Below are 12,221 nucleotides of genomic sequence, written 5' to 3' on the forward strand. Positions count from 1 at the left end.
GTTCTCTCTTCCTTCCCCTGCATAGAGAATAAGCTGGTCTCCAATTTCAGGTAATTGTGAGGTGGGGAAGAGTGGGGAGAATGTGAAGGAAGCCTTCCCCACCAAAGTGCAGCAGAGCTCAACTCTGCCCCTCAAACCACAATAGGAACCAGTGGTTTCCGGGTGATCCTGATGACAGTTTCCAGTGTCTACCTGGAATGAAACGAATGGTGTGTTTCAAGCCTTTGTCTGTGTGCATGCAAATAATCTCAGCTGCCCTTTGTTGAATACCCACTCACTCGTGCCTTCTCTGACTCATTTTTCTCAGAATAACCTGGCGGGGAGGGTATTATTTTCTCCATCTTATAGAACTGAGGCTCAGATAAGTGAAATAACTTGCCCAAGGTTACACCGCTGATAACGACATAGCTGGGATTTGAACCCCTGGAGCAGATAACACGTCTGGTGCTCTGACTGGGTAGCTTAGTAGACTTTAGAGCTGGATGGGCCCTGAGTTGAAATTGTGATCCAGAGCTATTTGCAAGCTGTGGTTAAGAGCACAGATCTGGAGCCAGATCACCTGGTTGAGAATCCTGACTCTACCACTGACTAGCCAGGTCAGTCTCTGAACCTGTCTCCTTATCTCTACCTACTTCATAGGATGAAACGAGCCAGTGCATGCAGAGAGATTTAAGCCTCAGCGTAAATGCTCTGTAACTGTGAGCTGTTTTTATTTCTAGTATCTGTAAACTAAGCAATATAATTAGGGCCAGGTTAAGACCTTTAGCAGCCTCAAACACCAGAGACTGGCCTCTCTCCTCCATTGTCTCCTCCAATACAATAATAAAACGGTGTGGTTCGTAAGACAAAAAACTCGCTGTGCTGAAATTTTTTTTACAATTTTGTTTAGTTTTGTTTTTTATTGATACATAATAGATGGACATATTTTCAGGGTGCATGTGACTGTTTGATACGTTCATATAATGTATACAGATCAAATCAGCATAATTGGGATTTCATCCCCTTAGATATGTATCTTTTCTTTATGTTAGCATCATTCAAATTACTCTATACTCTGGCTATTTTGAATGTGTGATAAACTATTGTTAATTATAGTCACCGTACTGTTCTATTGAACACTAGCTCTTATTCCTTCTAACTGTATATTTGTACCCATTAATCAACCTCTCTTCATCCTCCCCACCACCCTTCCTGGCCTTCAGTAATCACAGTCTACTCTCTATCTTCATGAGATCTACTTTTTTAGCTCCCACATGTGATTGAGAACATGCCATATTTGTCTTTCTGTCCTTGGCTTGTTTCACTTAACATAACGACCTCCAGTTCCATCCATGTTGCTGCAAATGACAGGATTTCATTGTTTTTTATGGCTGAATAATATTCTAGTGTATATGCATACCACATTTTCTTTATCCATCCATCAATTGGTGGAGTGCGCTGACATTTGAAAAGCTTCTTTTTAGATCCTCATGGCAGAACAGGATAAGTTCACCAAACAGGAATGATTTCACGTTTTCTTGGTGTCTAGACTTTGCTCAGACTTAAATCTGTGTTTAGTCGGCCTTTGAGGAAATACAGGACAGATCCTTCTATCTCCCAGCGTGGTTGAGAGAATTAAAAGAGATCATGTAAATGTGATCAGGAAAATTGCCTGGTGTATAATAGGTGCTTGGGAAATGAGAACCATGACTAGAATTTTTGGAAGGGTTTTACTAACTCTGGAAACTGAGTTGCCTTGAGTTGCTTGTTCACATTCCTATACTCTGTGGCTAATAGTTTGCTTCTGCAAGTCACCAGTGCCTGTAGCTGTAGCTGACAGCAGGAAAGAACAATTGTCAGGTTCTCAAGTCAGGGTCATGTTTACTTTGTGAAGATTAATATTTCTGTAGCTTTGGCTTTATTAGTGCTGTTCATTTATTTGCCTCCAAAGGATGGTGTGTTTTGATTGCTATAGGTATTTTAATTGCTATAGGTATTTTAGATTTTGCAGATCTAATTCTAGGTCTAACAGAGCCCTAGAATCAGTCAAGTCCCTTTCTTCATGCACATTAATTTTGGAAAAAATAAACTTTTAAATTATCATATATTGGTGGATTATTTTATCATTATTGTATGTCCCTGTAAATCTCTAATAATGGTTTTTATTTTAAAATCTATTTGGGGTATTGTGTTGTATTCATATTATTGAATCCTTGCTTTGAATCTTGGTATGTCTTTATATTTAAAAGGGGTCTCTTGTAATAAGCATGTAGTTAGGTTTTTAAAGTCAGTCTGGTGATCTTTGTCTTTCAAGTGTTGTATTTATTCTGTTTGCATTTACTGTAACTAATGTAATATAAACATACATGAAATGTTTACATTTATTATTATTCTTTAAGTGGTTATCCTAAATATTATAGGATACATTCTTGATATATCTAAAAGTTTACTATAAATTAGTACTTTTACCATTTCCAAGAAAATGCAAGGTCCTTAAAACATGTTAATTGTATTTATCTATCCTCCTGCTCACATATTTACCCTTTTATGTTGTTCTTTATCTTTGCTGAATTTTCGTGTTTCCAGAATATTCTTTTTTAGTGCAGGTTTACTGATGGGAAACAATCTTAATTTTGGTTTGTTTCATTTTGATTTTGTCTTCATTTTGAAGTATTTTTTTGCTGGCATAGAATTCCACAGTGGCAGATGAAATTCCATTGTTTTGTGGTTTCCATCAATTCTGCTGAGAAGCTGCTTCTCAGTCTTATTATACCTTCTTTAAAGATTGTCTTTTATTCCCCCTCTGACTGCTTTTAAGATTAATTTGTGCACATGTGCAGTTTAACCATCACATACCCAGGAATGCTTTTCTCTGTATTTATCTTTGGGATTCACAGAACTTCTTGATTCCATGACTTGATATCTGTCATCCATCTGGCAAGGTCTTCTGTCAGTTTCTCTTTAAATATTGTTTCTGACTTGCTCTCTCTCTCCTCTCCTTCTGTGGCTCCTATTACATGTGTGCTAGATCTTTTACCATGTACCATGTTTCTTTTATGCTCTTTTAAACCTGTTTTTCAACCTTATTCCTGAGATCTGTTTACTGACTTACCTTCCAGTTTGCTAATTCTTTCATCTGCTACATCCAGTCTGTAGTTCAACTGATCTATTGAGTTCTTAATTTTAATTATTTCATTTCTCAGTTCTGTAATTTCCTTTTTTTTTTTTTTTGAGATAGAGTTTTGCTTGTGTCACCCAGGCTGGAGTGCAATGGTGCAATCTCGGCTCACTGCAACCTCCGCCTCCTGGGTTCAAGCAATTCTCCTGCCTCAGCCTGCCAAGTAGCTGAGATTACAGGCACCTGCCACCACACCTGGCTAATTTTTGTATTTTTAGTAGAGGTGGGGTTTCACCATGTTGGCCAGGCTGGTCTCAAACTCCTGCTTCAGGTGATCCACCTGCCTTGGACTCCCAAAGTGCTGGGATTACAGATGTGAGCCACCACACCTGACCAGTAATTTCCATTTTTAAAGAGCCTAGATTTTTTTAGCAGCATTCTCATCTTAAATCAATTTTTTTATTATATTATCACAGTTGCTAGGGACTCCGTGTTTGACAACTTCAATAGCAGAATCTCGTGAGGTTTTTGTTTTTGTTTTTTGTCTTGGTTTTTGATCATTTGGTTTTGTCTTTTTGCATGCCTGGTAATTTTTTTATTGTGTATAAAACATTGTGGAGACTCTGGAAGATGACATCTCCTCCAAAAGAAAAGTTTTTCTGCTGGCTATTGATGATAGTAGAGGCAAATCACTTTGGTCAAATATGAGATTGAGATGACTCAAGGCAGGATCTATTTTGTTTGCTGTTACTCCAAGGAAGTAATCCTTTAGGGTCCCAGTTAAAAGTTTTGAGTGTTTCTCAAGGCTCCTCATCCTTATTGGCCATGAATTCCAATTTTTGCCTTCCTGTAATTAGGCAACTGCAAAAAAGCTCTGCTTAATTTCTTGCCTTTATAGCTACCCCCTTTTTGCTTGGTTTCTCTGCCTCTCACCGCACCCAGCTTGGATATCAGCAAATGCCTCAAGGCTAATAACTTTCAACAATATGAGACTCATACCTCTGTGGTTCTCATATTTCTACAATCTTTGCTCCTGTGTCCTAACTACTTTAGTAATCCTGAACTCCAGTTTTTTTCTCCCCAGCCCCATAAGACTGGAAAACTCTAAGCTGTTGCTTTTTTTCTTCTTTGCTTATAAACTGGCAAGTGTCTTGAGGGGAAAATTGATAGAGGTCAAACTTGGTCTGTTTTTCATCTCTCTGGGATCTTGTTCCCTCAGGACCTGCCTTGGTTGACTTCCAATCCCTTAAGACAATATTTTATAGCTGTTATTTTTGATCATGATAGTGAGGTTGACTAAAAATACAAGCTATCCCGTCGTAGCTGGGAGGTGCACTCAGTTGGACAGTTTAATACATATTAGGAAAAATGGCTTATTTTTGTTTTCTTCAATATGGAGAAAAATTAAACTTTAAACCACATAAAAAGGCAGACTCTAAATGAATTGAAGACTTAAATATGAAAGGTAAAATTCTAAGTGAATAGTTTAACATGTAGACAAATTTTAAAATCCCAAGAATAGAGAAAGGATTTTTACACCTACAAAAAGAAATTATTAGGTAAATATGTAAGGATTTTTTGTTCTACAAAAGATAATAGAAATAAAGAAAACAGACAAATGAAAGACTAAGAGAAGAAATTTACAGCATTCGAAAAACACATTGAATACCTAGACTCTGTAATGCACTCCAGCAAATCAGTAAGAAAAAAAAAAAATAGAAAACCCAGTAGAAAAATGGGCAAGCATAAAAGATCTGAACAGACAATTTCCAAACATTCATATGGCCCACAATTATGTGAATATATGCTCAAACTCACTAGTAATCCTAGAAATGAAAATCAAAATAACTATGAGTTATTGCTTTCCATGCATCAGTTTGGCAAAAAGTAGAAAGTGGGGCCGTGCCAAGTGTTAGCAGGAAATTGTGAAACTGGAACCCTTATGTACTTCTGGTGGAATCTAGAATGGCACAGGAGTTATGAAGAACAGTCTGCTAGTACTTGTTCAAGTTCAGTTCACATATACTCCATAACACAGAAATCCTCCACCTTGGCTATAAATACATTTTAGGAATGTGTGTGTATACATATATATAGGGAGAGATACTGCATTTTAAAAAATGAAGATGAATGGAGATGTTCATTGCAGCATTGTTTATAAGGTGGCTGAGAGATAAAGGCTACCTAGCTGTTCACCACCAGGGCAATGCATAAATTCAATAGAGTGGGTGTGCAGTATAGAATTATAGCTACAAGCTAGATATGCATCCAGTAACATACACATGTTTAAATCAGTGCAGACTGAAAATAAACAGCCTTCTAAACAGAGTGAGATATTGTGCACATTATTCATTAAATTAAAACACATGCCACACATAAAACAACATGGCATCATTTATAAGGAAACATTTACATATTTAATATGTCAGAGTCATTGTCTAGGGCATGGTGGAAAATAAGGATAAATGGGAACTTTTAAAAATCTTGTTGGAAGAAGGTGATGGCTCAAATAAGATTTCCTTCCTCCCTGTCTCTCTCTCCCTCTGCCCCTTCTTTCCTCCCTTCCTCCAACAGATGCTAACTGGATGATGGAATGAACAAGATTCTGTGTTAAGTGCTGTGGAGGAAATAAAGATGATTTCCCCATTGGCTTGGCCTTCAAGAACCTTAGGCAAGGGCCTAAGGTGAATACACCAGAAGCCTTAGTAGCAATACTCTGTCCCAGAGTTCAGACTCATAAACACATTCCTGCTCTGCTTAAAATCAACAAATGCTGTTTTGGATGTGTAAGAGCTCTTAAGGATGACAGCAACACTCAGTAAAGTAAATAAGCTACGTGACTGAGGCCAGAAGTGTCACACTGCCGTCTCTTTCCTTAGCAGGCTTTTCTGATAATACATATGACATAGCTCTCAAATGCAAATGCCTATAGGGACCAGGAGGAAATACCAATGGAAAAAGAGGGTCAAATTTAAGAGAGTAGGGAGTGGTGGGGACTGTGACAAAATGGAGCCCATATGCCTTGACTTAATTGGGCCGCCACTGTTCAGTGCCAGCTGGTTGCTGCCATGCAAGAATAAGGCAATACTCTTGTATTTTCAAGAAAAGCCAAAAATCTAGATTTTTATGTGAAATTGTCTCATTTTTAAATATTGGCAACTACCTCAAATATTTTTAAACCCTAGGGAGTGGGGAAAACAATTCATTTTGTTTTTAACCACATTTGGTCAGTTGGCTAACAATTTGCTGCTTCTAATACTCTCATAGCATCTGGATATCTGGAAACTAGTGATATTTTTTAACCTCATTGTTTATTTTTTTAACCTTTCATTATTTGCACATACCGAAAAGAATGAAGGGAATGAGTTTAGATAAGATGCAAATTTCTGGCACCTGTAGCCAGATAAAAGATACAATGTCTACCATTTGCTAAGCACCATACAATATGCTTTGATGTATTAGAGGGAGCAAGACACCTAGGCCTCTATCCTGGAGTGCCTGTGGCATTTGAGAAACAAGAAAACAGGCACCCAGGATGCATGTATACGTGGGGACATTTTAGGACTCAACATTTATATAAACACTGGAGATATATATATAATATATCTCTATATATCTAATGTATATATTATATATTATATATAATATCTCTATATATCTAATGTATATATATACACATTAGATATATTATATATTATGTATTATATATCGATATATAATATATAGATCTATATAATATCTATATATATAATATATAATATATCTAATGTGTATATATATACATTAGATATATAGAGATATATATATCTCTCTCCAATATAAAGATATAAACAATAGAGCTGATTTGTGTATTAGCCCATTTTGCGTTGCTGTAAAGGAATACCTGATACTGAGTAATTTATTTCAAAAAGAGATTTATTTGGCTCACGGTTCTGCAGGTGGTACTAGCATGGCATCAGTATCTGTTCCGCTTCTGGTGAGGCCTTGGGAAGCTTTTACTCATAGTGGAAGGTGGAGGGCCAGCAGGCACATCCCACGGTAACAGAAGGCGCAAGAGAGATGCCCGACTCTTTTAAACAACTAGTTCTTCTGTGAACTAATAGAACAAGAACTCACTCATACCATGGAGAGGACACCAAGCCATTCATGAGGGATCCATCCCTATGACCCAAACCTCTCCCACTAGCCCCACAACACTGGGGATCACGTCACATTTTAACATGAGAGTTGAAGGGGACAAAGTCCAAACCATATCAGGGTGGGATTCTGTCATCAGATCAAAAAGTCCATGTACAGAAAGTACTTCCTATGTGCAAGCCTGAGATAAGGGCTTTCTTATTTAAAAATTATTAAGTGTTTCAGGCATACAAAGATGGGTAAAACATACAAAAGTAGGGTACCCAGCATCCTGCTTAACTGATACAGGGGTTGGCAAACTTTTGCTGCCAGATACTAAATACCTTCGGCTCTGCAGGCCACACACGGTCTCTGTTGAAACTACTCCGCTTAACACTGTGGTGTGAAAGTAACCACAGACAGGATAGTAAACCAGTGAGCAGGGCAGTGTTCCAATAAAACTTTACCTATGGACACTGAAATATGAATTTCGTGTCATTTTCACATATTATGAAATAGTATCCTTCTTTTGATTATTTTGCAACCATTTAAAAATGTGAAAGCCGTTCCAGACTTGGGTCACACAAAAACAGCTGTGGGCTGGATTTGGCTTACGGGCCATAGGTAGTGTCAGCCCCTGAATTAAAGCACTACATAGTCTGAGCCCCCCAGGTGCCACTTCCAAAATTACATCCCCTCCTACCCCCAGAGTTAGCCATTCTCTTGAAAACAGTGTTGATCATTCCTGAGTGTAATTTTGTTTTTGTGGAATGCATCTGTGTCCATTAACAGTACAGTTGGTTCCAATTCAAGGATTCAGTTAACTACAGATCAAAAATATTCGGGGAGTGGGGCAAGCACAGTGGCTCACACCCGTAATCCCAACACTTTGGGAGGCTGAGGCAGGCAGATCACCTGAGGCCAGGAGTTCAAGGCCAGCCTGGCCAACATGGCAAAACCCCGTCTCTACTAAAAATATAAAAATTAGCTGGGTGTGGTGGTGTGCACCTGTAATCTCAGCTACTCGGGAGGCTGAGGTAGGAGAATCACTTGAACCTGGGAGGCAGAGGTTGCAGTGAGCCAAGATTGCACCACTGTACTCCAGCCTGGAAGACAGAGTAAGTCTCTCTCTCTCTCTCTCTCTCTCTCTCTCTCTCTCTCTCTCTCTCTCTATATATATATATATATATATATATATATATATGGGGCAAAAAAAAAATACAGAATAAAAATAATATATGTTTTAAAACAATGCATATAACAACTGTTTACATAGTGTTTACATTGCGTTGGACATTATAAGTAATCTAGAGATGATTTAAAGTATATGGGAGGATGTATGTGGGTTATATGCAAATACTCTACCATTTTTTATAAGGTACTTGAGCACTTGCCAATTTTGGTGTCCATGGCGGGGGGCGGGGGTGGGTCCTGGAAACAGCCCTCCTGGGATACTGAGGGGCAGCTGTATTTTTGAACTTTATGTTGAATAAGCATTTAAGTTGCTATTAAAATAGTGCTTTTTTTTACATGAATCATCTTTTTAAATCTTCACCGTGACCATTTTCCAGATGAGAAAACTTTTGACTTAGAGCAGTTTGGTAACTTGCTCAAAGTAGTGGGTAGCACACTGGGATGTGAATTTGCAACCTTTTTACAATGGGATCTGAGTTTATAAGCACCACACCAGCGATCGCTACGTTGTGTTTCATTAACCAAGTAATAACTGATCTTGCCAAGGATGACCTTATGATAACGACGTGCTCACAATAAATTTAGCCTTTCTCTGAAGACAACTGCAGGTTAAATGTTACTGGTTGTAGTTCAGACCTTGGAAAATTGCTACGCCATGTACAGTGGTGTGTGCGTTAACCAGAAACCTTATTTTCTAAACCCAGTGGGTGGGAATTTATTAATATTTATTTTGAGACAGGGTCTCACTCTGTCACAGAGGCTGGAAGGCAGTGGCACGATTAGAGCTCACTGCACCTTCCATCTACCCTGGCTCAGGTGATCCTCCCACCTCAGCCTCTTGAGTAGCTGGGACTACAGGCATGTGCCACCATGCCCAGCTAACTTTGTTGTATTTTTTTGTAGAGATGGGGTTTTGCCATGTTGCCTAGGCTGGTCTTGAACTCCTGGGCTCAAGTGATCTGCCTGCCTCAGCCTCCCAAAGTGCTGGAACTGAAGGTGTGAGCCACCATGCCTGGCCAGAATTTAGAAGGAGTGACTACCAACATGGTGCAAGAATTAGAAATGTTTTCAATTAAAAAATGAGAAAGACCAAAGGAGACCTCATCCCTACTCTCCCCTGCCCGCCCCCCATAACATATTATAAAAATCATGGGTGATTCAGGAGCCAGTATGTTCTCTCTTGGTCAGGTCCACAGTGATGAGCTGTTGAGTGTTGCCACCTAGAGAGTTGTTAATGACACTTACGCCTTTTGAGCTTTTCTCCGTCCATGCAAGTAGTACCGTGTTTGTTTGTTTGGAGATGGAGTCTCATTCTGTCGCGAGGCTGGAGTGCAGTGGCGCAGTCTCGACTCACTGCAACCTCTGCCTCCCGGGTTCAAGCGATTCTCCTGCCTCAGCCTCCCGAGTAGCTGGGACTACAGGCATACGCCACCACGCCCAGCTAATTTTTATATTTTTGTTAGTAGAGACGGCATTTCACCATGTTGGCCAGGATGGTCTCGATCTCTTGACCTCGTGATCCACCCGCCTCAGCGTCCCAAAGTGCTGGGATTACAGGCATGTGCCACCACACCCGGCCTGTTTTTCTCTCTTAACCACAGTCAACTCCACGTTCTCCCCAAGCCTCTGGCTTTTGGAAATCTAAATCCAAACGCTCCCTCTCTGCCTGTCTGTCTCTTTCTCAGCTGGGAAGTTGCCCTAGTTTGCTCTGGCTCATTTATATGACATTGAAGAGAGACCAAAATATAATTTTTCTAATGGCAAAATACAGCAAGAAGGAGGGGAATGTTTTAATCAACTGGGTGTATTCTCCAGCGGGGAGCAAGAACTTCATTTTAATTTCTCATTTCCCTTTGATGAAAAGTTGAGTGAATTTTTATCATGTAGAATTTATAAGAAGTCTGGGTTTAGGTAATCAGTTGTAATATTTATACTCTTAGGGAAAGAAATAGGAATCATTAGCAAGCATGCATAATTAATGAATAAATTATATTTCCCTTTGTTTTCTTTCAGGTACAAGGAAATGGTAGAACTAGTGATCTCACCCAGCCTCACTGTAAACAGCGATTGTCTGGATAAACTGAAGTTTAACCGTGCTGACGCTGCTGTGTGGACTCTGAGTGACAGACAAGGTAGGCTTCCTGCTGTGAGTTTGGGTCAACAGGTGTGGTGGTCCTAGGTCACCCTGAGAATATCGTAAGCAACAGACACGCATCCTTTCCAAAGTACTGTCCTTAGGACAATTTCTCCCCCTGCCATTTAAATGCTTGCCTCTGAACCAAAACTTTGGCATACATCTCTAACAACTCTGTCTCATCGTTAGAGGTAAAAATGTGCTCATTCGTGTCTTGAACTTCCTTTCTTGGTCTCCAATTCCAAGAAATGCTGACACCACCACGGATGATAGTCACTTTGGGGCGTGTCCCAGGCCCAGCCCTTGGATGTGTTTTGCAGTGTCTGTTTCTGGCTCTGAGCTCTGTCCTCTCTACTCTGCTCTGCCATCCCCTTGTCCAAGCAGGCGTCTTGCTTACAGGGGTTTGACATTAGGGCAAGAACTCGTCTGCCTCTTGCTTTCAGGTCGGGTTGGAGTCAAGGAAGCAGAGAAGAATTAAAGTTGTTTAAAAAACTATTGGCAAATGATGCAGTCGAACTAGTTTTCACTAGAACAATTCCAGCTATTGTTTGTTCTGTTTCAGATCTGTCAGCCTTCCTGGTAGAGCTTGGAGTTAGCAAAAGGCATTAAGCTATTATGTTTAACCATTGGGCTTAACCCTTTCTTTGGCCAGCTTTGGGATTTGCTGCTGTTGTCCTGAGACCCCCTCGTTGTTTTTCCTTCATTATCTGTTTGACACCAGCTCATGGGACACAAATGCTATGTAACTGTCGTGGAAAACCAAAGTGACACGTATCTAGTGGAATATAACATCACAAGGAATTGGCTTTGAAGCCAATCCAGGCTTCCATGAGTAATTATTGCTGTCAGCAAGACAATGACATTTCTCCTTGCATGCTGGTTACAGAGCTGGAACTGCGCTGATGAAAGTACCACCAGTGGCTTGGGCTCTCATGCCAAAACTGGATGGTGAAGAACATACCCTCATTCTTCCTGGCACTTTGGACCATTCGTGTAAACTGCCCAGGGGCCTTTGAGAGTTTGAGAAAATTTACTGAGCCCCGTTCAAAGACATTCATCATTTTCTTTCCAAATAGAGACACAAGTCAACTTAAGTAGAGACGCAAGTCAACTGTCTTCATTTGAGAGCCCGTAGTAACAGGAAAGGACATAGGCTGCTCAGGGGGGAATCCCAGCCCACTGCTTCTCAGCCAAATGATCTCAGGCAAACTGTTTAACTTTTCTGAGCCTCAGTTTTCTCACCTGTCAAATGGGGGCATAATGGCGTACTTCATAGGGTGCTGATTGCAAGAAGGAAGTGAGGTGATGGGATGTAAAGTGTCTGGCACACCTTGGGGGCATGGTGCATGGTTAAATGTACCATTCCATTGTCACTCTCCTCTGAACCAAATAACCACAGTAAATTCAAAACCATGGTTGCACACAGGGCAGCCCACAGCCACATCTGGCCCTGAAGTTTGTCTTTGTTTGGTTTACACTATGTTTTAAGTAAAAGTGAATTTGTAAAAATTGGGAGCATTCACATAAAAATCTGGAGTTCTGGTTTATCTTAAAAGACTGAAGGCTGGCTGGGAGCGGTGGCTCACACCTGTAATCCCAGCACTTTGGGAGGCCAAGGCAGGCGGATCACGAGGTCAGGAGTTCAAGACCAGCCTAACCAACATGGTGAAACCTCGTCTC

General features: G+C 40.1%; 1 protein-coding gene across 5 annotated transcripts in view; it reads left to right on the forward strand.

Moving 5' to 3' along the window:
• The window catches only part of EYA2 (EYA transcriptional coactivator and phosphatase 2), a 294,002-nt gene that overhangs the window by 84,738 nt on the left and 197,043 nt on the right, over nt 1–12,221 (forward strand). For all 5 annotated transcript variants that reach the window (NM_005244.5, NM_172110.4, XM_017027721.3 and 2 more), the window contains exon 2: nt 10,421–10,539. In NM_005244.5, coding sequence (NP_005235.3) covers nt 10,431–10,539 — 109 coding nt within the window. In that variant the 5' untranslated portion in view covers nt 10,421–10,430. The remainder of the gene's footprint in view (nt 1–10,420; nt 10,540–12,221) is intronic.

Source organism: Homo sapiens, chromosome 20 (assembly GCF_000001405.40).
Source record: "Homo sapiens chromosome 20, GRCh38.p14 Primary Assembly".
Taxonomy (NCBI): Eukaryota; Metazoa; Chordata; class Mammalia; order Primates; family Hominidae; genus Homo; species Homo sapiens.